Source organism: Homo sapiens, chromosome X (genome assembly GCF_000001405.40).
Source record: "Homo sapiens chromosome X, GRCh38.p14 Primary Assembly".
NCBI lineage: Eukaryota > Metazoa > Chordata > Mammalia > Primates > Hominidae > Homo > Homo sapiens.
The window spans coordinates 40,578,908-40,606,848 of record NC_000023.11 but is presented as its reverse complement, the minus strand read 5'-3'; the positions used below and the strand labels follow the sequence as shown (position 1 = coordinate 40,606,848).

At 41.8% G+C, this 27,941-nt stretch overlaps 1 protein-coding gene across 1 annotated transcript, besides 3 other annotated features; it reads right to left on the bottom strand.

The window, feature by feature from the left end:
- On the bottom strand, positions 1–25,879 carry ATP6AP2 (ATPase H+ transporting accessory protein 2). The gene is made up of 9 exons (NM_005765.3): positions 25,747–25,879; positions 17,733–17,863; positions 15,484–15,615; positions 9,505–9,600; positions 9,185–9,322; positions 8,115–8,168; positions 7,108–7,257; positions 5,968–6,087; positions 1–1,288 (listed from the first exon to the last, which is right to left on the bottom strand). The coding sequence occupies exons 1-9, from the start codon at positions 25,781–25,783 to the stop codon at positions 1,094–1,096; spliced, it is 1,053 nt and encodes a 350-aa protein (NP_005756.2). The 5' UTR covers positions 25,784–25,879; the 3' UTR covers positions 1–1,093.
- Positions 25,500–25,809: a silencer, noted in NCBI's record as "silent region_20763". NCBI's record gives its function as "represses an Ori minimal core promoter by ATAC-STARR-seq in GM12878 lymphoblastoid cells {active_cell/tissue: GM12878}" and the evidence as "EXISTENCE:reporter gene assay evidence [ECO:0000049][PMID:35858748]".
- Positions 25,970–26,179: an enhancer, noted in NCBI's record as "active region_29547". NCBI's record gives its function as "activates an Ori minimal core promoter by ATAC-STARR-seq in GM12878 lymphoblastoid cells {active_cell/tissue: GM12878}" and the evidence as "EXISTENCE:reporter gene assay evidence [ECO:0000049][PMID:35858748]".
- Positions 26,230–26,379: an enhancer, noted in NCBI's record as "active region_29546". NCBI's record gives its function as "activates an Ori minimal core promoter by ATAC-STARR-seq in GM12878 lymphoblastoid cells {active_cell/tissue: GM12878}" and the evidence as "EXISTENCE:reporter gene assay evidence [ECO:0000049][PMID:35858748]".

The window sequence follows — 27,941 nt, the reverse complement described above, 5'->3', positions numbered from 1 at the left end:
ATATATCCTATATAAATTCAGTAACAAGAATGGTAATTAAAATGCCTTCCTTACATTAGTACTAAATCTCAGGAGGCAGCGAGAATAAACAAGTGTAAAAGAAACACCATGAAATTATCTGTACAACAAAACAGCCAATCCTGATGAAAGAAAAGCCTGTTTTGTTAGGTTTTTACAATATAAAATAGATTTAGTACTGCAATGACACAAATTTGGAATCATCATTAACTTTATTTGTCACTCTTGATAGACATTGGTCCACTCCAACATAAAAAGTAGAATTCACCCACTTCCACTTAATATTCTATAGAATGAAGTTGTACCACAAACCATAGTAACTTACACAGGGGGAAAAGTTACTGAAATAAAAATGTTTTATATTCATGCCTCAAAATGTCCCTCAGGGATTTTTGTGTGTATAATGAAAAGCATCTATATACTCCACAAGGCTAGTTTCTTCTTAGATCAATGTAGTATTTTTAGTATCCATATTAGCCCATGTAGGTCAACAAACTTGCAGAAGAGGGTTAAAAAACAGCTGTCCTCTGTTACTCAGATACAGTTCCAAAACTAAGCGATTATATAAGCACATCCATATTTTAGGGCTACTCTAAGTTAAAAACCTTTTCTCTTGTTTCAGAGTTATTTACATCAAATTAAGACATTTACAAATTGTTCATAGTATACAATAGCCCAAATATGATTTTCACCTATGCTGTGTAAAGAAGTTAAGCATTCGTAAGTTTGTCTAATAAATTCAGTGCACTTTTTTCCATAACACGAGCTATTCTAAATGTTTTACATTTCTTTCAGTGCATATTTCCAAATTCATTAAACAGAATGAAATCAATGTTATTAAATGGCTATATCATAATATTCAAGCATATTATGGAATCTATACCACAGTGGGATTCACGTCAATACTATAATTCACTCTAGAAAAACATCACAGGCACACACAAAATAAAGAACAAAATTTGATTTTTTTTTATAAATGTAAAGTATACTATCTACTTTAAAGCACACTAAAAGATATATTTTAACAAAACAGCCAATTTCCAACCCCCTTTTCTAATTCTGGCACAGGTAACATTCAATCCATTCGAATCTTCTGGTTTGTCATCCTATAAATGATGCTATCATATCCAGGATCCATGTTCCAAATATTGTAAGAGGTGATAATCACAGCCAAGGCCAAGGCGATCATTATCCAAAGTACCATGTTGAAAACCACGGAATATTCAAAATTATACTTATATGCAAGGTTATAGGGACTTGCTGGGTTCTTCTACAATATAGAAAAGAAAGAAAAATCAAGAGGGAAGAATTTTAAAATAGGAAATTATCCCAGTCTAGTGACTGTGATTCATTTGTCTAACAAACATTTCTTCATAAGTGGCATAACAGCTACTTATACTAGGAGGAAGCAAGAAGGAGCGCCTTTGTGGAGACGACACTTGCACTGATGGTGGAAGTATAAACCAGTCCAAATGCTTGGGAAAACTGGACAATACCTAATAAAGTTGAAGGTGTGCATATCCTGTGATCCAGTAAGTCCATACGCTAGGGAAAATTTCTATATGTGTACCAAGAGACATGTATAAGAATATCAGCAGCAAGGCTGGGCACAGTGGCTCATGCCTGTAATCTCAGCACTTCGGGAGGCCAAGGCGGGCAGATCACCTGAGGTCAGGAGTTCCAGAGCAGCCTGGCCAACATGGTGAAACCCCGTCTCTACTAAAAATACGAAATTAGCCAGGCGTGGCAGGTGCCTGTAATCCCAGCTACTCGGGAGGCTGAGGCAGGAGAACTGCTTGAACCCAGCAGGTGGAGGTTGCAGTGAGCCAAGACTGTGCCATTGCACTCCAGCCTGAGCAACAAGAGCAAAACTCCGTCTCAAAAAAAAAAAAAAAAAAATCATCAACAGAATGGAATTGTGGTATATCCCTACAAGCAGAATATGTAACAGTAAAATGACTAAACTACAGCTACATTTGTCAGCCTGAGTGAATCTTAAAAAGAATACTGAACAAAGAACACAGAAAAATACATGTAGTATGATTCAATTTATATAAAATTCAAATACAGGCAAAACCAAACAACACTGTTTAAGAACAAATACATATGCAGTCAATCTGTAAAGAAAAGCAAGGGATTAACATGATATCCAGGACAGCAGTTACCTCTGGATGAGGGAGGGTAGAGGGAGAAAATAGGGAGCTTCAAAGAAGCAAGCATTCTCTTAAGCTATTGATATGGTTTGGCTCTGTGTCCCCACCCAAATCTCATCTCGATTTGTAATCCCCACGTGTCGAGAGAGGGACCTGGTGGGAGGTGATTGGATCATGGGGGCAGTTTCCCCCATACTGTTCTCATGATACTGAGTTCTCATGAGCTCTGATGGTTTAAAAGTGTGCCACTTTCTCTCTCTTTTGCCACCTTGTGAAGAAGGTGCCTGCCTCCCCTTCCCCTTCCTCCATGATTGTAAGTTTCCTAAGGCCTCCCCAGCCATGTGGAACTGTGAATCAATCAAACCTGTTTCCTTTATAAATTACCCAGTGTCAGGTAGCTCTTTATAGCCATATGAAAACGGAGCTATACAGTGTTATTATTTTTATTATTTAAATAACTAGTATTAAATATGTTATATACTTATGTATGTATGATCCACTTAACACTTTTTTTTAAAATACAGAGCTGTGTAAAAACATTGTTTGGGAAACTGAATTCATTCTGACAAAGGCACTGTTTGGGAAATATCATTCATTCTGGCTAGAGAATTTTAAAAGTAGGAACACAGCAGGAGATGAAGCTAGAAGCAGGGAAGCTACAGAAAATCTGACATGAGCCTCTGGGCAATAAGGAGCCATTGACAAGCTTTAGGCAGAAAGTGAGTGACATGATCAGGTTTGTCTTAAAAAGATAACATTAAAATTAAAAATTAGCTGAGTGTGGTGGCTCAAGCCTATAGAACTGGCTACTCAGGAGGCTCAGACAGGTGGATCACCTGAGCCCAGGAGTTTGAGGCTACAGTGAGCTATGATTGCGCCACTGCACTCCGGCCTGGGACAGGGCGAGACCCTGTCTCAAAAAAAGAAAAGAAAAAAGATAACTTTGATGACAATGTGTAGGATGGATTTGGGAGGAGCCAGCTGGGAAGCAGAGAGACAGATGAGTTCAGACAAGTTAGGAGGCGGCAGTCAAATGAGGTGGGAGAAATGGGGGCAGGGTGCCTGGCAGTGAGGATGAGAACGAAAATGTAACCGAGATCTATTTGTCCCTACAGCCCCAGCACCTGGAATGTTGTGAGTACTCAGTAAATGTTCCTTAAACTCCTGTCTCCTTAAACTAATGGAAGAGAGTGATTTCAAATGTAGGAGAGAATGGGTACACAGGCATGCATATTTACCTGCGGGGAGCTCAGAGCTGAGGCAAACGTTAAAGGATTTCACGCCCATGAAGACCTCTTTGTTTCTTTCCTTTTTTTTTTTTTGATAAACATGTTCTTTTTCCTACCCATTTTAAGTGTACAAGTCAAGGAATTTTAGTGGTTTCATAGTTATCACCACAATCTAATTCTAGAACATTTCTATCACCCTAAAAAGAAATCTCATAGGCCGGGCATGGTAGCTTACACCTGTAATCCCAGCACTTTGGGAGGCTGAGGTGAGCAAATCACTTGAGGCCAGGAGTTCAAGACCAGCCTGGCCAACATGGTAAAACCCCATCTCTACTAAAAGTACAAAAATTAGCCGGGTGTGGTGGTGCATGCCTGTGATTCCAGCTACTCAGGAGGCTGAGGCAGGAGAATCACTTGAATCTGGGAGGTGGAGGCTGCAGTGAGTTGAGATTGTGCCACTGCACTCCAGTCTGGGTGACAGAGTAAGATCCTATCTCCAAAAAATCCAAAAAAAAAAAAAAAAAAAAAAAAAAAAGAATTCTCTGGGAGGCATCCCCACTCTCAACACATGTGCTGACCACCCAGAGCCCAGGTGCCTTTCTGTTTCCCTGTGCTGGTGGGCAAAAATTTCCAGTCTACCCTCTCACTGAGGGCACAGCTCTCTCGGGGTCCCCAGCTTTATCTGGAGTTGTCCATTCCCATCCCCCACACACAAGGCACCAAAGGACTCTTGGTGACCCAGCTGGCAAATATCCTTAGGGCGGCCTGCTTACCACATTCGGTTTTTTTTTTTTTTTTTGAGATGGAGTCTCACTGTGTCACCCAGGCTGGAGTACAGTGGCACAATCTCAGCTCACTGCAACCTCCGCCTCCCGGGTTCAAGCGATTTGTCTGCCTCAGACTCCTAAGTAGCTGGGACTACAGGCGTGCGCCACCACGCCCGGCTGATTTTTTGTGTTTTTAGTAGAGACGGAGTTTCACCATGTTGGCCAGGCTGGTCTCGAACTCCTAACCTTGTGATCCACCCACCTCGGCCTCCCAAAGTGCTGGGATTACAGGTGTGAGCCACCGCACCCGGCCTCCTCTTCTTTATTTACTCTGTAAGAGAATTTCCCTTTCTTGCGAGCTGAACTATGTATTTTTATTTTTGTAATTTTTTTTTTATTTGAGACGGAGTCTTGCTGTGTCTCCCAGGCTAGAGTGCAGTGGTGCAATCTTGGCTCACTGCAACCTCTGCCTCCCGGGTACAAGCAATTCTCCTGCCTCAGCCTTCCAAGTAGCTGGGATTACAGGTGCCCGCTACCACACCAGGCTAATTTTTGTATTTTTAGTAGAGACGGGGTTTCACCATGTTGCCCAGGCTGGTCTAGAACTCCTGGCCTCAGGTGTTCCGCCCGCCTCAACCTCCCAAAGTGCTGGGATTACAGGCGTGAGCCACCACACCCAGCCCAAACTATGTACTTTTTAAAAGATCTTTATTTTTATCTAGCATTTCTAGACGTTTTATGGTGGGAAATCTTGGGTGGTTGTCTAGACTGACATGCTGTCTGAAACAAAGGTCCTTCCATCCCCAATTTAATTTAGAAAGAAACAATCTCAAACCAGTAATCGCTAGACTATCTCAAACAGGCACTGGCTTCGACCTTCCGACTCCAAGTCCCACACTGACTTCAGTAAAACTGAGCAGGGTGAGGGCTGCAAATGGGTCTGAAGCGGAGGTGTATGTAATTGAGTGGATATCTATCTGCTGCAAGTGATACAGCCAGCCCTAAGCAATGTTCTCAGACGTAGGATGTTAGGGAGCATCTACACTACTCTTTCCCATCACCCTCCCTAGGTTCTGCTGCAGCTGTAAGTATATATGTATGTATGTAAATGTGCACGTACATACACATAAACAGATATGTATTTTACCATGGCCAGCAACCATGGTAATGCTTAACCCTGACCCTCTAAATGCTTAAAATCAAAGCAAGATCCATACCCAAAAAAACTGTTAAGTAAATCAAAATCATAAAGAGGTGCACACAGAGGATCTCAGTAAGTGAGGGACTACGCCACAAAGACAATGTGCCTGCTAGAAAAGCAGAGCCCATAGGATGTGGGCACCACACCACTCCCGCACACATTCACTTCTTTTTGTTTTCAAAACAGGGTCTTGCTATGTTTCCTCAGACTGGCCTCAAACTCCTCCTGAGCTAAAGCAATCCTCCTGCCTTGGCCTCCTGAGAAGCTGCAATTACAGATGCACGCCACTGCACCTGGCGCCACATTAACTTCTGATATCTCCTTGTGTGTACTGATATTTGAATTATAATCTTGGACAGATTTACTTTTATCCCTAATTCAAATTCTTGCATTATCTGATTATAACCCTAAAGAACTGATCATCACTGGCAAAGCACACATATGTATGTGAACAAGAAGCTTACGTTTTAACTGAAATTGTTTTTCAGATTTACTGACTGCTCATTCATGTCACCCTTAGGTGATATAGGACTTGGTTTTTTTTTTTTTATAAGAAGTTAATTTTACAGTTTTAAAGCAGGATCTCAAAATATACTCACCGCTTGTTTTGCCTCAAGGATAGTCCTTGTCTTCCTAATGAGGGAGGTGTCAAATGACTTGACAGTGACTAACTCTACCACTGCATTCCCACCATAAAGACTGTACATGTCATCTGCAAACTGAAAGTTAGTTATTAACATTATTGGGAATCTCAACTATGTACTTTTTTCATTTTTAATTAACAAATTAAAATCATATATATTTATCACATCAACATATTGTTTTGAAATATGTACACATTGTGGAATGGCTTAAGTCCACATTGGCTAATTAACATATGCATTACCTCCTACTTATCATTTTATGCAGTGAGTCAAATACATACTTATTAAAATTATTTTTAAAGCTTTTGTGCAGCTACAAGAACAATGTACACTTACCTCCTGGCTCATGAAATATACTACATCTTACAATAAGCAAGTCTTAAAGGTTTTGATTTTGCTCAACTATACAGAAAAGTGTTAAGCTTTAACATATATTCAAATGTTTAGACTAAAATTACTTTAAGAAGAGACTGAATTTGTCAGCATATAAATTGGAGGAAGGGAAGTTGGAAAGAGAAATGAAATCTTCCTAAGTGGTCTCTGGTTAATCACAAACATCTATAAAGATTAAAATATGAAGCCTCACTGAAAGGATGCAGGTGAAGAACTTCAAGGGCAGAGGGGAACTAGCATTTATTATGCATCTACTGTCTGGTACTGTGCTGGGTGTTCTACTTCAGTTATCTCATAGTGTTTAAGGAGTACAGAGTTTCAGTTGGGGAAGAAGAAAAAGTTCTAGAAATAGAAGATGGTGATGGTTGTACAACATGTGAACGTACTTGCACTTAATACCACTGAACTGTACAATTAAAAATGGTTAAAGTGGTAATTTTATGTTATATATATTTTACCACAATAATTTTGTAAAGCTTTGTGTGAGATAACTTTTCCTAATGCTGTTCTTTCTAGCATTAGGAAGAAATATATCAATATACATTTTTGACCCTACTCCATCCTTGGCCAGTATAATTAGAGGAGCCCCAAAGAAGGCAAATAAGAGTTCAATCAACAGTGTTTGAAACAGCAGATTTTTCTATTAAGAGGCTAAAAGTGAAATGGTCATACTCCAACCTCTCATGTCGCATTGATATTTACCTTTTGCAGAGCGTCAACAAGGATCTTAGAAGCATCTCTGAATTGTTCAGAGTCTTCCCCATAACGCTTCCCAATTTCATCCAAACCTGCCAGCTCCAGTGAATATAAATCAGGAGAATGATCCTTGGCTAGATGCTTATGACGAGACAGCTTAGGAGAACAAACAAACAAAAAAAGGTAGCGGATAAAGTAAGATGAAAGACGTCAAACACAGCCAGTTAAAGTTTTATGCCTAACTAAACTAGGCTAAACTAAACCATACCAGTGTACCACAACATGCAAATAGTCTAAAATGGTGGCAAAAGAAACTGGTTTGAATAAGCGTTTCTGATAAATCCAACACGAATCTCATGTTTAGGAGCAGTACAAGACTCCTTGGATATTTAATAAAAGCTTTCAACAAAATTCCTCAGTTTTAAAAACTCAGGTATGGGCCAACGTATGAAAGAACAGATGGCTGGACCAGTTTGATCCCAGGAATGCACTACACTTCCAGACTCCCCGAACCAACACCTGTTGAAAAAGTTTGGAAAACAACTTCAGAAGGTAGCAAACAGATAAGAATTTCTATTTCAGTAACAAGGATGATTTTTAAAAAATCATTCACCAAAAAAATACCCTTCAGACGGATTTCGTCCCTTCTTGACTTGACTGACAGCATTATTAGTCCAAACTATTATTTCTATTTTAGGCCCAAAGATATAGATAGGAATTAAGTCTCACAAGAAATCAACAGCCAAGTTAGGACTATGGCCAGGGTGTTCTTACGCCCAGGCTTGTGTTCTTGGAAGATATGTTGTCTCTCCCTAAAAAGCAGAAATGCAAAATAATTTGACTATAACATGGATGTGTTCAAAATTCCCAATATTGCCACTAATTTTTCAATTTTCATGGGATCATAAATCTAGGGCATACTTAATCAAACTTTTCAACTGCCTTTACTATTATTCAAGGATTCTCTAGAAACCAAAATAAATGGAATTAAAAAATTAGAGCAGCCTACTTACCAAGCTTGAAATATCATGTAGCACTTGCAGTTCAGAAAGAAAGAGCAGGTCAACCTTCAGAGAGCCCAAAAAAAAAGAGCATTCTTTTAAATGTGCACCAGAGATCTTTATTTGCCATTTACCAAGCAAGGCACAGGATATTACAAATGTTGATCATATAAGTGAATTTATATAATTATCTTCCATTTGGTATGTTTGCTTCAATTGAAAATGCATATAAAACATTATTTCCTAACAAAAAGGTGATGGCCATTCCCTAGCACAGTGACTGCCACTCAATAGCTATATTTTTGGCAAAACCATGATAAAGCATCCAAGTTCTCCAGTGGTTTTCCTTCAAAGCATCAGGATATCCTGGCACTCTGCAATGACATCCTACCATTGGCCCAGTTTGCTCACTTCCCTTGAATAGTTTCCACATCAGAGAATAAAGGATGATGGCCCTGGTCATCCACAGCAAATAAAAAGGGGAGGCCACCACGAAAGTGGCATGCCACATGGTTAAGAGGGCGCATGAGCAGATGGAGAAACTGAAGGACAGGAGTCAAAAGTAGAGGTGGCTCCCTCCACTGCAATGTCCAGAATGAATGAGAAAAATGTGGCAACAAATCAGCAGAGGCAGTGAACAATGGCTTCCAAGTTACCAGATCCACACAGCTCCACCAGTCACCAAGTAGATCTATGACCTCTGGCTTGTTTGAATTAATAGGTGGCAACCCTCGTGCTAAAATGTGATGTTATTTACCACAGCTCAACTCACAAAAAGGATCAGTTTATTCATGAGAGTCATAAGAAAATTACACTAAAGAAGAATCTACCCCAGCAGTAAATGTGCACAATCTTTCATTTTCTAAAATAGCAAAATTTCCAAAATTTCAAGTAGTATAAGGAATGGGAGGCCAGATGCAGTGGCTCAAGCCTGTGATCCCAGCACTTTGGGAGGCCAAGACAGGATTGCTTGAGGCCAGGAGTTCAAGACCAGCCTGGACAACAGAGTGAGACCCTGTCTCTATTTTTTAAAAAGACGGAAATTAATGATATTCATGTATTCATTGAATAACTGCACTTACTTCATTGTTCCTACTCAGAGAATTGAGGGGGAGTGAACTGAGAACAGAGTTTTCTTGAAACAGGCGATTACGGAGCTGGCGCAAGGTGACTGAAAGGTCTTCAAACACTGAGTTTGCCTTCCCTACCATATACACTCTCTGTAAGAAGAATAGAAAATTTTAAGTTGCTCAAATTCTACAGATTAGTTCCAATACCCAGAGGTATGACAACATTGTTCATAAATTAGTTTTATATTTTCATAATAAAATTACATTTCATAATTTTCAAATAATAAAAGCTTATTTTTTAAAATGTCTTGAATAAAACCCTTATCACTTACTTCCTCACTGGGAGCCAACTGCAAAACAACAGGAGTTTCCTCAGAAAATAAGGAGTGAATGGAATTTGCAACACTGTCAAGACTAAAAGGAACTGCCTGAAATTTAAGAGTAAGAACGCAATTATTATGTGAACCAAAGTGGGAAGAAAAATCATTCAGATGGTATTTAAAAAGAAGCCTTAAACTTTTTTCCAGCACTTTCTATGGAAATTTAGAAGCCCGAAATCATTTCCAAACAAGCCCTTTTGAGGGCACAGAAGATTAAACAGCCCCCTGGTAAGCCAAGTCTGTATCTCCCATCATGCCTCAGTGGAAAATAACTTAAACCTGATGGACACAACACTATATCTAGCACAAACCATTTTCTGGTGGTCATTCATGTATTTGAAGCAGCAATACATTTGGTTTCAATATTGACTAAATGTGCCACGATGAATGCATATTCCACAATAAAGTATTTAATTTGCATTTAAGAGGTTAGAGGAATCTGAGTATTGAATTTAATTGAAATAAAAATGGAATTCATCTTTCATTTCAAAATTTTAAAAATGTTTAATGAGATTTAACATTTGTCTTCAGATAGCCTAAAGACTCTTAGATAAGGTGTTAAGTATGTCACAAGGTTTTTGAAGCCTTTATCTTAGGACATGTTGATATTATTAGATTGAAATAACCAATGGTGATAAGACCTACTTTTTTCCTTCAATTTTTTTATTAAAGTGCAAAATACATATAATATAGTATACAAATCTTGGGGTAACAGCTCAACAAATGTTTACACATGCATGCACTCAGGTAGCCCAGCCAGATCGACACAGAACACTATCAGCGCCCTCGAAGTACTACCTCCACCCTCAAGGGTAACAAAAATTCTGACTTCTATCCCCATAGATTTGTTTTGCAGTACATGATTTAAAAAAATAAATTACAGTTATTTTTCCCCTAAAAAAATTATTTCATTCCCAGTATTACTGTATTAAAACAAGCAGTACAGTCATGTTTTTGTTTTAATGGAGATTTCTTACATTGATCTTTCATTCAGTAGTTCCCTTACTACTTAAAGATTCATGTTTACAAGTAGCAAAGTAACGCTAATATGATACAGGCAGAAATCAATGTGATTATGTCTTACTGATAAAATCCCAGCATCACATTTTTTTTTTTTTGAGACAGAGCCTCACTCTGTTGCCCAGGCTGGAGTACAGTGGCGCGATCTCGGCTCAGTGCAGCCTCCACCTCCCAGGTACAAGTGATTCTCCTGCCTCAGCCTCCTGAATAGCTGGGATTACAGGCACGCACCACCACGCCTGGCTAATTTTTGTATTTTTAGTAGAGACGGGGTTTCATCAAGTTGGCCATGCTAGTCTCAAACTCCTGGCCTGATGTGATCTGCCTGCCTTGGCCTCTCAAAGTGCTGGGATTACAGGCGTGAGCCACCATGCCCAGGCCCAGCATCAATATTAAGTGATCAATTTTATGATTCTGTGAAATGAAATAATTTTTTTCTCTTACTCAAGATGCTTATTAACTCTTCCCCAAATTCTCTCAAAATGAGTTAATGAGTAAGTGAAGAGGGGGAAGAGAGTTCAAAGTTGCAAAAGCATACTGCTAGCAGCCGCCCTGAATCATCTATAGGTGCTTTCCTTTAGCGATCATAGAGTTTACCTCCTCAGGCTGTGAGGGGAATACATGAGCAAATGATGCAAACTTTCCAGCCTCACTTCACTTAGTGAAATGGCGCTCGGTTCAGGAAAGTTGAAGATTAGGAACCATGTCCATAGCGATCAAATTGAAGCAGCTCATGAATCAAATGAACACCAATGAAGGAAAAGAAATAATTATATAGGCAGCTAAGCTCAAAAAGTAAAAAGCTTGGCTGCTTAATATCGAATGATGGTTTTTCTCTCACTGTATTGTAAGGGAGATGCATATCTGTCCTCAAATTTCTGTACCTGTATGACTTGAAATTCTAACTAAAACAGCTAGCTAATCAAATGGAAGCTTCGTTAAATGGAATTCTAAGATACTCTGATTTTTATGTTTTGTGGGGTTTGCCCCTGAATCTTTTATCTCATTTACCATCTTCTGCTAGGAAAAGCATTGAGCAGCCAACCAGGGCCAAGCAATAAAATGAGCTCCTCACACAGCACAGCTTCTTCTCATGTAAAATGAGGCTAGTCTGTTTTTAAATCTTTATTTTTGGATTACATGCTAATAAAAATCTCAAAATGGCATTTTGGATTTTTATAATTTTAAAGAAAATCTTCTGCAATGATTTTCACAGAAATCACATAAAAAATGACTTAAATGCTCCCTGTGAAATAATCTGCCTTTTGATCTGTATTGTTCCCTTCCTTCTACTTTATGTGTATTTACTCTGAAGTTCTTCCGCTTTCTTTAGCTCATTAATTTCCATTCTTAGACAACCTAAATTGTCTAAAACATGCATTTAAGGCTATAAATTTCCCTTTTCTTACCACGTTAGCTGCACCTCCCAATTTTGTAAATAAATGCTACATTCATTGTTACTCAGTTCCAAATAATTTAAAAAGTTCCACAGTGATTTCCTCCTCAACCCATGAATTATTTAGGAGTGCATCTATTCCAACTATCTTTTCTTGTTGACTTTTTTTGCTTTTAACATCTCTAAATAAGACACTTAAATTACATCTCCTGATTTTTCAATTTTAGGTCTTGTCTATTTACTATCCATTATAGAAAATGAGGCTTTAGCTCTCTCACATCACCAACCACTGCCCCATCCATGCGCTGAGCCATCCATGCGCTCTGCTTCTGTTTCTATCTCCCCACTCTTACCCAATAGTTATATCAAAATTTTCACTTGATCAGCATCATTTCATTATTATGACAATGCAAATAATACTCAGCCTAGCTCATACTACACAATCACTACATTTTCCTTGCTTTCCTTCTACTCTCATTCCTTTGTAATGACAGTGTCTTTTCTCCCTCACAGCTTTTAAGATTTTCCATTTCCTTGATGACTCTTCAATTTCACCGTATGTAGGTGTGGATCTGGCTTTTGCCTACTGGGTGTTCCATATGCTTTAAATCTGAGGAGTTGTTATCTTCTGTTTGTTACTATTTCCAAATACTTTTTATTTTATTTTTAACTGACAAATAGTAACTGTATATATTTATGGGGTACAATGTTATGTTTTGTTATAAGTTTACAAAGTAGACTGATTAAATCAGGCTAATGAACAAATCCATCACCTCACATACTTATATTTTTTTTGTGGTAAAAGTATCTAAAATCTACTCCTTTAGCAATTTTGAAATACACAATGCATTATTATTTAATATAGTCACCATTTTGTGCAATAGATCACTAAAGCATGATCCAGCAAGCCCACTTCTGGGTATATATATCCAAAGCAATTGAAGTCAGTATGCTGAAGAGATATCTGCACTCCCATGTTCACTGCAGCACTATTTACAATTTCTAAGATATGGATGGAAGCAACCTCGGTGTCCATAATCAAACGAATGGATAAAGATAATGTGCAGCTGGGTGCAGTGGCTCACACCTGTAATCCCAGCACTGAGATCCACTGGGAGGCTGAGGTGGGTGGATCACCTGAGCTCAGGAGTTCGAGACCAGCCTGGCCAACATGATGAAACCTCATCTCTACTAAAAATACAAAAAATTAGCTGGGCGTGGTGGCATGCACCTGTAATCCCAGCTACTCAGGAGGCTGAGACACCAGAATCCCTTGAACCCAGGAGGCAGAAGTTGCAGTGAGATGACATTGCGCCACTGCACTCCAACCTGGGCGACAGAGCAAGATTCTGTCTCAAAAAAAAAAGAAAAAAGCAGAAAGAAAATGTGGTATATAAACATAATGGAATACTATACAGCCTTTAAAGCGCGGGAAACTGTCATTTGCAACATGGATAAACCTGGAGGACATTATGTTAAGTGAAGTAAGCCAGGCATAGAAGGACAAATACTACATGACCTCACTTGTAAGTTGAACTCATAGAAGTAGAGTAGAATGATGGTTAGAAGACGCTGGGGGAGACGGGTGGATGGGGAAAGGAGAAATGTTGATCCAAATACCTTTTTTTTTTTCCCAGATGGAGTCTCGCTCTGTCACCCAGGCTGGAGTGCAGTGGCGCAATCCCAGCTCACTGCAACCTCCACCTCCCAGTTTCAAGTAATTCTCGTGCCTCAGCCACTGAGTAGCTGGGACTACAGATGCGTGCCACCACGCCTGGCTAATTTTTGTATTTTCAGTAGAGACAGGGTTTAGCCATGTTGGCCAGGCTGGTCTCGGACTCCTCGCCTCAAGTGATTCACCCGCCTTGGCCTCTCAAAGTGTTGGGATTACAGGCGTGAGCCATGGTGCCGGGCTCCAAATACCCTTTTAAGATATCATTTTATTATTATTTTCAGATTTAACTGCATTGTGGTCAGAGAAGTTAGTTTATATGACACTGATTCTTTATTGTTTGTTGAGATTTGCCTTGTGGACTACTGCACAGTAATTTTTTCTAAGTATGCCATGTGTACTTGGAAATAATCTATACTCGACCACAGGAAAGTCTGAAAAAAAAAAAAATCCCAAAACTTCAGCATCACATAGACCACAGTATTACAATGCAGTGAACTTAGAAATTTAAAAATTAGAAATTACTTTTTTAAAACCCATGCATTTGGAAAAAATACTTCTACATAACTCATGGGTTAAAGAATCACAATATAAATTATGAAATATTTTGAAGTATCAGCTAAAGCACCATGTATCAAAAATGTCTTATAACTCCCTCATAGTTTCTGTTCCTTCCTTTTTTTCACAAATTTTTTCTCTTTCTTTCTTTTTTTTTCCCCCTAGAGATAGGGTCTTGCTATGTTGACCAAGCTGGTCTCAAACTCCTGGCCTCAAGCAATCCTCCCATCTTGGCCTCCCAAAGCTGGGATTACAGGCGTGAGCCACCATGCCTGGCCCTTTTTTTCACAATTTTAATGTATGTATTTTTAGATCTCTTGGAAATTGGCCTATTCTCCGTAGTTCTAAGGAGATGAATTCTGTTTGTTGCACCTGTTTCTCATGGCATTTTTTTTCCTTCAGGTGCTTTGTAAATTCCACTCATCTTCCGTATTTGACCAAAGGAGCCCTTGGCTATGGAGATGTCCCTATGGGGCAGGTCATGTGAATTTGCAAAGAACCACTCTGCACAGCATAAGCCTATAATTCTAATTCTAATTTATCTCAGGGGACTCTTTGGGTCCAACAGCCAAGGGCAGCAAGCCAGCTTTACTAGTTTTACTAGTCTGCTTTTCAAGAACAAGTTGACAGCATTTCTAGTCCCTGGCTTTCTGCAGGAAACACAGTTTCAGCGTCAGCTTCTGCTCACCACTATGGCTTCTGAGTTTTCCATCCATATGTAACACCTGTGTATATCACCCCCTCTTGCATTCAAATTTAGTTATGCTAGTAAAAATGTTTTTTGTGACATTCTTTCAAGCACTTCTATATGCTTATAATGGAAGGAGGGCCTCTTAGATCAGCACAGTCACCCACATTGCCTGAATAGCCAGTGAAGGAGTAAGTGAGCCAGCAAGCAGCCTCCAGTGTCCTTACACACGAAAAGAGGTAAAATCCTGCAGGGAAGATGACAAGACAATGGCCAAAAAAACAGTAGCAGGATACAACCCCAACTGGTTTCTCCTTTAGTGGCTCTCTTTTTCAAGCCTCTGGCTATTCTGAGTGGGGCAATTTCTCTATCTCTTATCTTAAACAGTACTCTCATCCACAGAGAACAGCCAAGCCTCAGTTAATTACAATCATCATGTAATTTTCTTAAAAAGAAATTGTGTTTGTCAAAGAATTTCAAAAGAAACTGTGCATCAAAAACAGATAAGAGAAGTATGTTTAGAATGCAATTCATAATGACAGCTGACAAGGGAAAATGTAAAATGCATCCCTTTAATTTTTTATAATAAATACTCACATTCTCCAAAGGGTACGAAATGACACTGCCTGGGGGTAGAGCCAGTTTGTTCACTCCCTTCACCATCACCATGACGGTAGCCCGAGGACGATGAAACAGGTTACCCACTGCGAGTCCTGGCCAAGAAAGGTCCTAAACATTGAAAAGCACAAAGCGGTGCTTAATTATCAACTCAGGAACCCACCTCCCCAATAACATCTAATAAGCAGAGTTAAGGGGTTCTGAGATGACACTGACAAGGAAAATTCACAGGGAAAGTAAACATTTTATTTGTGGCAGTCGTTGCAATCCCCTAATCAAGAATGCTGATTTCTACCCTCTTCATTTTCTTAAAATTTTACAGATTTGAAATAAAGTCCAATAGTAAGTCATCTGACACCTTTTGTGGAAAAAAGCAAGCAAGTAAACAAAACATAGGTACCTTTCAAATTTCAGATCACAAAATATTTTCTTCATGTAGCCATGGAAATTTTCTTCCCCCACATCATTTTTTGCCCTCATATACAGCATCACTTTTATCTTTCACAGAGACATAGCAAGATGGTCATTAAAACATCCTCTTTAGACTAAGATCTTTATAAATAAAACAATTCCTACTAAAAGTAACTATCATTAGTTTACTAATAATTATTTCTCAGTTATTTTAATAGCCATCAGTAGTCAAGTTTAAGGTTGTAAAGAACTAGATGGTCAGGTGTGGTGTTCACGCCTGTCATCTCAGCACTTTGGGAGGCTGAAGCAGGTAGATTCCTTGTGTCCAGGAGTTCAAGACCAGCCTGAGCAACATGGCAAAATCCTGTCTCTACAAAAAATATAAAAATGATCTGGGCATGGTGTTGTACGCCTGTGGTCCCAGCTACCGGGGAGGCTGAGGTGGGAGAATCTCTTGAACCTGGGAGGTGGAGGTTGCAGTAAGCCGAGATCAGGCCACTGCACTCTAGCTTGGGTGATAGAGCGGGACCCTGTAGCAAAAAACAAAACAAAACAAAACAAAAAAAGAATTAGGTACAGGCTGGGTGTGGTGGCTCGTGCCTGTAATCCCAGCACTTTGGGAGGCTGACGCAGAAAGGATTGCTTGAGGCCAGGAGTTAAAGACCTACCAGCCTGGACAACATAGCGAGACCCTGTCTCTACAAAAAATTAAAAAATCAGCTAGGCGTGATGGCATGCATCTGTAGTCCTAGCTACTCAGAAGGCTGAGGCAGGAGGCTGAGGCAGGAAGATCACTTGGGCCCTGGAGTTTGAGGCTGCAGTGAGTCATGCAGACTCAAACTCAGCTTGGGTGACACAGCCAGACCCTGTCTCTAAAAAAATAACTAGGTACAAATTTCATCCTTAAATGTAAACAACCAATCCTGTTCACTTTGGTTGCCCAAAGACTACAAAAAGCTCAGGGGCTCTGCCCTTAGGCCTGGCAGTGAAGCAGTTCCCAGGTAGAGTTTCTGTTTTCAAGGGTGCTCAGGATTTGGAGAAAAGTTCCTTTCAGTGACTGATGATATATATCTAGAGACCACATCAAAAGCACCAGACTTACAAAGAGAAGGAGATGATAGCACCGAGCAAGCTGTATTTCCTTTCTTCTGAGCCCTTACCTTTCGATCTCTCACATTGACTGGATCTAGACCCTCCCGCCCCCTACAATCACATAAGCAGCCAATTACTACAACAGGTCATAGCTCCATTCTAGGAAACCAAGGTCCTTGGCTGCCCCATGGCTACTGACCACATTATTTTCCTAACCTCAGGCATAATGCATATATATTTTATCATTCATAGTGAATCTATCGCCTATACTAAAAAAAAAAAACCAGAAAGTAGATATCCTATTAAGAGTAGGACAGATGCATTCTCTAATATACAAAGAATTTCACTACTATGAATAAATAATTATATAGTTAATGATTTCTAATGATTTGTTTCAGAAGCCAAGCTTGAAGCACTCATCCAAAATCTTCCCAACTACAAATGGGTTTTTAAAAAATTAATTCATTTATTTTTGAGATGGGAGTCTCACTATGTTGCCCAGGTTGGTCTCAAATTCCTGGGTTCAACTGAGCCTCCCACCTCGGCCTCCCAGAGTGCCGGGATTACAGGCGTGAGCCACTGTGCCTGGTCCAGATGAGCTTTTTAACTTTTGTAATCTGTACCAAACGTACCTACGTTCGTTTGATGCTTTTTTGGGCTATTAGCAGAAATCAGTAAAAATGTTCTTAAAAGCAGCTCCAAACATTTAAAAAATATATACATACTTCTTTCACAGAGAAGCCCATGGACAATGCAGCCACGTCTGGGATCCGCTCTCCTGGTATAGGCCAATTTCCATTTCGGAAAACAACAGACCCTGGTGATTTTAATATACTAAACTCGTTCCCCAAAACACCTGAAAAGAAAACAGATCAGTAAATGAATTATCAACATCATAAATCATTTACCTTGACAATTATTAAATATAATACATGTTTCCCCATTCACCACTGACTTAGCGTATTAAATTATGACTGGTCAAAATGCTGAGTCCTAAACAATAACAAATTCTTTTTCAAAGTATCACTCTAAGAATTTAAGTCCACACATTCTGCTGGAACAAAAGTACAACTATCAGAGCCTCTCTGAACCTATTCTGGTTCAGGGTCTGCCTGATAAGAACAAGAAACAAACAAAAGTCTCAAAAAGAGATCAACAAAGGTACAACTACAAAACAGGGTTTCCTAATGATATAGACACCTTCCTACTGATGGCTCTTAAAGAGGCATGTGGCAATTTGGCAGGAATTAGAAATCAGTGGCATATCTCCAAAATTTAAAAAACAAAAAACAAAGCCCAGGCACAGACTAAAAAGGAAGAAGCTTGAAATCTCTAAATTATTTCTACCATCAATCCTTTCTACACAATGCAAATTCATAAAGTTCCTATTATTTCACTATAAGATTTTACCAGGTTACTATGTCTTAGGATAGGTAACATCTTTCCTTATGTCCCATAGGCAACCCTAGTGAAATAAGGACTGTCAAATGTTGGGGGGGGGGGGGGGCATACATGTCACAAGTAGAAACATAAAAACACTTCAGACTTTAGAAACAAAGTCCAGGAAACAGTATTTGTAGTTGACATGTCAAGAGGGTAAGAAAAGGTATTCTGTAATGATAAAGTCAACTAGTCTAAGGATTCAGGATTAAAAGATAAAGATGAGAATAAAGGGACTATTTTATAAGCTCTCCACAGCTAAGGATGAGGTATTTGGCCTCTTCATCCATTATCTATTAACCTCGTGATGTCTAGCTTACACAGGGACAAGTAGCTAATTTCAGTTACTGAAAGGAACTTTTCTCCAAATCCTGAGCACCCTTGAAAACAGAAACTCTGCCTGGGAACTGCTTCACTGCCAGGCCTAAGGGCAGAGCCCCTGAGCTTTTTGTAGTCTTTGGGCAACCAAAGTGAACACGATTGGTTGTTTACATTTAAGGATGAAATTTGTACCTAGTTATTTTTTTAGAGACAGGGTCTGGCTATGTCACCCAAGCTGAGTTTGAGTCTGCATGACTCACTGCAGCCTCAAACTCCAGGGCCCAAGTGATCTTCCTGCCTCAGCCTCCTGCCTCAGCCTTCTGAGTAGCTAGGACTACAGATGCATGCCATCATGCCTGGCTGATTTTTTAATTTGGGGTTCCTATTAAAAAAATGGGCTCCAAGTCTAGAACAAATGTTAGCCACACCTAGTATGGGAAAATTAGACTTTAGTAAAGAATCAGTGTTATTCTCTTGACCTAAGGAAAGTACCACTAACAGGGGATGGAAATAAAGTTGGAAGCAACAGTAAATGTTTTGGTGTTGCAGTATTGACAGTAAATAAAAGGCTTCAGGTTGGTGCTGATACACGGGAGTTACAAATTTCAATCCGGCACAGCTGTCAGAACAGGAATGTCCAAACTGCTCTAGCTGAAGACAGACCAAAAAAATTAGCAGAATGGAATGGTCTTTTGTAACTGATAGATATCTTGGTTCACTAAAGTAGTAGTACTGCAAACACTAAGAAAAATGGGGAACCAAGAGACCTATGCTTCCCAAGAACCATACACATATTTTGTTTGTTTGTTTTGAGACAGAGTCTCACACTGTCGCCTAGGCTGGAGTGCAGTGGCACAATATTGGCTCACTGCAACCTCTGCCTGCCAGGTTCAAGCAATTCTCCTGCCTCAGCCTCCCAAGTAGCTGGGATTACAGGTGTGTGCCACCATGCCTGGCTAAATTTTGTATTTTCAGTAGAGACAGGGTGACACCATGTTAGCCAAGCTGGTCTCAAACTCCTGACCTCAAGTGATCGGCCCGCCTCAGCCTCCCTATGTGCTGGGATTACAGGCGTGAGCCACCGCGCCCAGCCCCAGGTACCATACACATTTAAAAAACCATATTTTGATTTGGAGATACCCTTGTTTTGAGACACGGCCCTACTCATTCAATTCTGGCAAACCTATACCAAATAACTTTGCCCCAGCTTCGTAGTTTCAACTTCCATGCCTGTACAACAGTCCTTCAGAAGCCCAGAGCTTTAGAAAACCTTAGAGTCAGGGACTCCTATACAGAGGAAGGTCATTTGTCCAAACTTCTGCTTATTATAAGTATAAGCATGTCTCAGGGATACCTGGCAGAAAGTCACCCCTCCTCTATTTCAATACTACCAGTGATGGGGACACCACCTCAATATACGAACTACATTTGCCAGCAACTGGCTCCATTTTCCTAACATTCTAGTCCTTTGAAAAGTTTTTCCTTGTACTGAACTGAAATGGGCTTCCTAACTTTCAACTTCCTATGCTATCACTCCCCAACTCAGTCTCACCAGATAACCTCATCTCCAGCTTCACAGAGAAAACAGAGGAATTTCTTGAGCTACCTGCTTCCTCTCCCCACCACAAATTTATCTGCATAAGCCCCTATCTGTAACTCCTCTCCCTCCAGACATGAGGGCAGGGATGTCCCTCCTCCAGACTAAGACAATCCTGTGTTCAGTCTTTTTAGGGACCTTTGTTCCTTCACTGTTTGTTAAGGAAGCCACTCTTCTAGGACAGACAACACATCAGGAGTGAGGTGGCTATATGGTAATAGCCATCAAAAGATGGCCCTATAGAATACAAGCTCCATGAAGGCGGGGATTTCAGTGCGTCTTGTTCACACACTATCCCCAGGGCTGAGAACAGAGCCCGACACATTGGTGCTCAATAAGTACTTGTTGAGTTAATGAATGAATGAAGTCACACTTCAAACCACCAGTTTTTTCCCTCTCCACTGGCCCTTTCACTTCAGCATAAAAATACGCTCAAGGCACTCCCATTCTATAACTAAAACCATAAAAAACCTCCTTTGGTCCTACCAGTCTCCACCAGCTACCAGCCTTGCTCCCCTTCAGAGGAAGAATCCAGGAAGAGCAGTCAACCACCGTTTGCTTCTATACTTCATTTTAAGTTTACTACTTAACCCACAAAATTTTAAAAATTTTTTTTATTTTTATTTTTTGAGACAGGGTCTTGCTGTCACCCAGGTTGGAGTGCAGTGGTAAGGATCTCAGCTCACCGCAACCTCCACCTCCCAGGTTCAAGAGATTCTCCTGCCTCAGACTCCTGAGTGGCTGGGACTACAGGCACGCACCACCACGTCTGGCTAACTTGTGTATTTTTTTGGTAGAGACAGGGTTTCACTACGTTGGCCAGACTGGTCTCGAACTCCTGACCTCAAACAATCCGCCTGCCTCGGCCTCCCAAAGTGCTGGGATTACAGGCGTGAGCCACCCCACCTGGCCGCCCACACCTTCCAAGCCCACCATGCCACTGAAACGACTCCCCAAACTCAAAAGGCAATTTCCATCCCTTAATTTTATCTAACTTCCCAAAGCATTTGATACTGGCAACTCCCTCCTTGAAAAGCCCCTGCTTTGGTCTTCATGCAGCCACGGCTCCTGGTTTTCCTTGCAATCCCTTTGGCTGCTTCTCCTCTGTTTCTTTCCCTTCCTGTCCTTTAAAGCAGTGGTAGCCAAACTTTTTAGATTTCAACCCTGTCAGCCCAAAATTGGAAAGTAGCCCTTCTTTCTTCTCTCTGTCCCTCTCATCCTCTCCATGTAAAGTATATACTTCTACTATAGTAATAGATTATGTATTTGATTTGTGCTATATTACAAAGCATACAAAAATAAAAGTTTTTAAAAGGATGAGATACCTGTGTAGTATTTTTCCCAATCTAATAATGAGAAAACATCAGATAAACCCAAATTGAGGGACAGTCTACAAAATACCTGACCATTATTATTCAAAAAGAGATAAGATAAAAATAGGCCAGGCATGATGGCTCACACCTGTAATCCCAGCACTTTGGGAGGCCAAGACAGGCGGATCACTTGAGGCCAAGAGTTCAAGACCAGCCTGGCCATAATGGCGAAACCTCATCTCTACTAAAAATACAAAAATGAGGCCAGGTGTGGTGGCTCATGCCTGTAATCCCAGCACTTTCAGAGGCTGAGGCAGGCAGATCATTTGAGGTCAGGAGTTTGAGACCAGTCTGGTGAACATAGTGAAACCCCGTCTCTACCAAAAAAATACACAAGTTAGACAGATGTGGTGGTGCATGCCTGTAGTCCCAGCTACTCAAGAGGCAGAGCACCTGAGGTTGGGAGTTCAAGACCAGCCTGACCAACATGGAGAAACCCCGTCTCCACTAAAAAAATACAAAATTAGCCAGGCATGGTGGTGCATGCCTGTAATCCTAGCTACTCGGGAGACTGAGGCAGGAGAATCACTTGAACCCGGAAGGTGGAGCTTGCAGTGAGCCAAGATCATGCCATTGCATTCCAGCCTGGGCAACAAGAGTAGTCCCAGCTACTTGGGAGGCTGAGGGACAAGAATCACTTGAACCCCAGAGGCGGAGGTTGTAGTGAGCCGAGATCGTGCCACTGCACTTCAGCCTGGGTGACAGAGCAAGACTCTGTCTCAAAAAAGGAAAAAAAAAAAAAAAAAGATAGAGGCTGGGTGCGATGGCTCACACCTGCGTGTAATCCCAGCACTTTGGGAGGCTGAGGAGGAGGATCACTTGAGCCCAAGAGTTTGAGACCTCATCTCTACAAAAACAAACAAAAAATTAGCTGGGTATGGTGGCATGCGCCTGTGGTCCCAGCTACTAGGGAGGCTGAGGTGGGAGAATCGCTTGAGCCTGGGTGGTCGAGGCTGCAGTGAGCTGTGATCACACCAGTGCACTCCAGCCTGGGTGACGGAGTGAGACCCTGTCTCAAAAACAAAAACAAAAAGGATATAAATGGAATTTCTAGTACATTCATCTGGCATCCAAATGGATCACCTAGCATACTCCACTTTGGAGATCTGAGGGCTCCATTCTTGACTCTTACTGCTTTCCTATTCTACATCTCTCCCAGGCTGAGCCCAACTACTCCTAAGGCTGCAAACACCAAAAACACACCCAATTCACCATCTTTCCACACACTTCTCCTGTATTCTATCTTGAAGGATGATACCACCTTCCTTCCACCCAGTGGCTGGAATCAGTCGTCTTTAAATCTTCCTCAGCAACACAGCTAATTAGCCACTGAATTTCATCTTTTTTTCTTATCTCACAAATCCTTTCCCCTCTATGTCCAGGGCACACTCTTCAGGCCCTCTCCAGGTTTGCTAGAATTGGGTGCCTTATGACCCTTGTCATGCCACTCTCTAATCCAGCCTTTCCCATAACTGCTTCAAAATACAGATCTGATCATTCACCCTTCTGCTTAAATGCCTTCTCTCACTGCCCAGAGACTCTGAGGCAAAACCCAAAGCATTAACACCCAAGAAACCTCATCAGCCTTATTTCTGGTATCTCCCCAACTTAATCCTGTACATTTCAGCCCCACCAAACTACTTGCCCCTTTGCTCTCACATCGCCATGCTTTTACACATGCTGTTCTGTTTCAAATACCTTTTCTTCCCACCCCAACTTTTCAACACATTAGCCCTGGGAGGCACCTCCCATGGGAAATTTTCCTCAGCCTCCCCAGTCTGGGCTAAGTGTCCTTCCCTCTAGGAACTCCACTATACTGTGCTATTATCGTCTACGAATGGTGGATGGAATCAATAATAATAAAAAAATGGATCCTATCTCCCTCTTCTACATGACATCACTTCAAATTCCATGTGTTCACCCTTGGCCTTTCTTCTCCAGGCTAAATATCTGAATTTTATCAAATACGCCTCATGATATGGTATTCAAAATCCTAGTTCCCTTCCTCTCTCTCTAGGTCCCTAGTTCTCCCTCTAGTTTGGCAACACTGTTTTAAAGGATTTCTATTTTTGTTTCTGCCTGGAATAGAGAAGTCAGAGCTCTTAAAGATGTTTTCCACTACATCACATTTAGTCATTGTGGAAAATAATAACTGAACCTCATCTGACAAGACTGAGCAATTCAGAAGCTGACAGGATCAGGTTCTTGTTCTGTATGAACTCGGCTATGCTAGTAAGGAAAACATGTTCAAACCATGTGCAGAAGCAATTATTTTATCTCAGACCCAAAACAAAAAAGCCTATACCTCACTGAATCAAAATAATATCAGTCAAAATATTAAAACATGGAATCTCAATAGATGTTCAGTTAAACCACAGGATCAAAGGGAATATTTTTAAAATTTCAAAAACTGAATTAAAATTAATTCCCTCAAAGTATCTCAGTAGATCAGAAAGACCTTTCCAGAGCCAGAAACAGAAGAAAGAAACAAAGAACTCGAAAACGTTTGGGGCATGGATACAACGTAACTATCATTAACACACAAAACCCCCGCACCTCTAGGGACAGAGATCTGCAGATTTCAAGAGCATACTGGTGCAGAATTAAATCGCCATTCCACAAGCAGGACCTCCCAACACCTCACATAGGTTTTTGGTTTGTTTGTATGTTTGTTTTTGCTTCTGAGACAAGGTCTGGCTCTATCGCCCAGGCTGGAGTGCAATGGCGCGATCTCGGCTCACTGCAACCTCCGCCTCCCGGGCTCAAGCGATTCTCGTACCTCAGCCTCCTGAGTAGCTGGGATTACAGGTGTGCCCCAACACACCCGGCTAATTTTTATATTTGCAGTAGAGATGGCGTTTTGCCTTGTTGGCCAGGCTGGTCTCAAACTCCTGACCTCAGGTGATCTGCCTGCTTCGGCCTCCCAAAGTGCCGGGATTACAGGCGTGAACCACCGCGCCCGGCCTCCCATAGGTTTTAAACTGACACACTGAGATCAGAGCACCCATTCCTCCAAGCCGTTCTCAACTTGGCCTCTTGTTCACTACTGTCTGTGCCTCCAGTCTCAGTCCCCATCACTCCCACATTCTCACACAGTAATAGCGTTACTTGTGCAACACAACATATATAATGGAAAAGGCCGATGCGCTGGCACCACCTCATCTGAAATCAAATCCAGCACCCAACCTGTTTAGTGTTGGGTAATTTATTTAGGTTGATCACCCTGCAAAACAAAGATGATGCCCTCTAAGGACTGCTGTCAAATGAAATACATTACCACATGATATGCAGTAAGAGGCCACGTATTAGCTGATTTCTTCACCTCTTGCTGAATGCTTAGGAATCTAGGTTCTACTCAGAAAGCTACCATTTATTGACATGTGACCCTAAAAATGCGACTCACATCCTGTTTCCAAATCCTTAAAATTTGGAACTCTGACAAACTATTGAGAGGTGCTTTGTATTCGCCTTAAGAAATATAAGTCATATAAAAATAATGACTCCATCTCAACTTTTGCATCCGGAAATATACATAAGGGAAGGGAGGGGCAGGGATTTCAGCAATTACTGATGACAACCACTAGAAATGAAGGCACCATACAAATGCAAAAACATCGTGGCAGCCAGTGGCAGCTAAAAAGTCTGCCTTCTCTTCTTCGCAGCGGGCTGCGACTCAATCCCAGTTCACTGAGAAATGCATCTCCGTACTCTGAAGGGCCTTTTCAGGCGCAAGAAGCCGGCCGGACGCGCCGCCCTCAAAGTGGAGGGTGGAGGCAGGCTCAGGGGCCCCCTACGCAGCCCAGCCCCGGCCCCGGCGGCCCGTGAGGCCGCGCCGCCACGGCCGATCCAGAGAAGATGCTGACGGGGACGCGGCTGAGGCGAGGCCGCCGCTGACGGACCGCACTGCGGCACCTGCCTCGCAGCTACTCGCCCGCGGCCGCCCCCGACCCCCAAGCCCCGCGGCGCAGGACCTCCCCAGGCACGTCCTGCCGGCCCCCGGCTCCTCACCCGCCACCAACGCCAGGAGCACGACAAACACAGCCATGGTGCCGCGGCGGCCGCAGCACTGCGGGGCGACACGGAACGGGCCGGCGGGACACGGGCGACAGCCGCAGCGTGAGGAGGTGACGCGCTCGGACTCGTCCAGGCTCCCGGGTCCCGTCCCTTCGTCGCTTCCGCTGGGACAGCTGCCGCTTTCTCCACCAATCACCAGTTACGCCGCGGCCTACGGAAGGGACGTAACCTGGGAAGCGACAGCCTGATAGGCGGGACTTAAAGTAACGGATGGAGAGTTCTACCAATGGTAGGCAGCGATTGAAAAGTCGGGCAGTCCCGCCCCCCGGTCGGTGATGACGGGTCAAGAGGTGGAGCGTAGGGCGGGTAGTCGGAATGGGTGATGGAGCTAGTCGAGGGGTCCCGGAGCCCACGGGGTGAGGGTGCCTCCCGAGTGCAGATCTTTCTGCCAGTCTCGAGCGACGGTCTCCAACCAGGGTGTCTGTCTTTCCTGGTCGTGTGCCTCCGCCCGGCTACGGACGCCAGCTGTGAAAGGCGGGGCTGGTTGGGGTTTCGCTCTAACAAGTATACAGACGCCGAGCACCTACTGGGAAGAAGCCAGGCGCAACGGGGAACCCCTGCCTTCCACATAGTGGTGCCAGATAAAATACAGGGCGCCCAGTTAAATTTGAATTTCATGTAAACAACGATTATTTGTTATTATGTCGCAATTAATTTATGGGACATACTTGTATTAAAAGAAGTATTACTGGTTATCTGAAATTCAAATATAACTGGGTATCCTATATTTTGATTCGCTAAGTCTGGCAACTCTACCTCCAAAGACTTTCCAATCTACAAGGAGTCATGGGACAGAAAGTTAATTAATTACTTAATTTGTCCATTCACTCAGTTTCCAATCTGGGCAAGGTGTTCTATGAGGATGTATGAAGGCTAGACATAGTAATTAGACCAGGCTCCTCCCCTCCCGCAGTTCATAGTCTTTTGCCTATGATGTGAGGCAAGAAGGGACACACTATAGCGTCTGTAGGTAGAAAATGACGCCCCAGCTGATGACCTTGAAAGGTGGAAATGATTTCATATCCAAGGATAGGAGATGGGGAGATTGTTCCAGTGAAAACTGTAGTTAAGGTGGGGAGAAAGCCCCGTCAGGTTAAGCATCAGTAATCAAATAAGAGATTATATGAGAGAGGAGGCACAGAGCTAAAACTTTCAGTTAGGCACATTTATTGAGGATTTTAAATTGTACATAAGAGACCTACACTAAGCCATTGAAGGCGTTTGAGCATGATTTACTGCACAAATGTAAGACAGACTTATTGGCGGGGGGGAGGGGGGGAATGCCTTACTGTTTCTTCAGTTTCCAGTCCCATTTTCTTCTTGGAGTTTCCTGAGGATGAAAAAATGAGAGCGAGTTAAAAACAGTGACCCCAGGAGTTCCCCAGGTAGCAGACCCACCCTAGGAAAACCTTGCCCAACTGAAAACTGAATCAGAAAGACACTCTCGAGGCCAGGTGTGGTGGCTCACACCTGTAATCCCAGCGCTTTGAGAGGCCGAGGTGGGAAGATCCTTTGACACCAGGAGTTGAAAACCAGCCTGGATAACATAGTGAGGCCCTGTCTTTTTATTATTAGAAAATAAAGAAAGCAAAAAAAGAGAAACACTCACTAAATAGTTTGAACTTTCTAGAACACACTATGCTTACCAAAGCCACTCTCAAATTTAGGGAACAGAGTCGATTTCCTCACCTAACGTCAAGAAACAGGAAACTCTCAAACTTGCTTTTCCTCTAGAGGAGAATTTGTACAAATGGGACTTTAGAGAACTCTGAAAGGGAGAAGAGAGATTTTTCCATCAGGCATGTGAAATTATTAGAACCAAAATGTCTAAAGCACCCCTCCAAAACATCCACTCTAATGTGACTGACTCGAAAAAAATTAATCACTTTTTTTGTTGTTGTTGAGACGAAGTTTCCCTCTTGTTGCCCAGGCTGGAGTGCAGTGGTGCGATCTCAGCTCACTGCAACCTCCAACTCCCGAGTTCAAGCAATTCTCCTGCCTCAGCTTCCCAAGTAGTTGGGATTACAGGCGCCAACCACCACGCCCGGCTAATTTTTGTATTTTTAGTAGAGACGGGGTTTCACCATGTTGGCCAGGCTGGTCTCGAACTCCTGACCTCAGGCGATCCA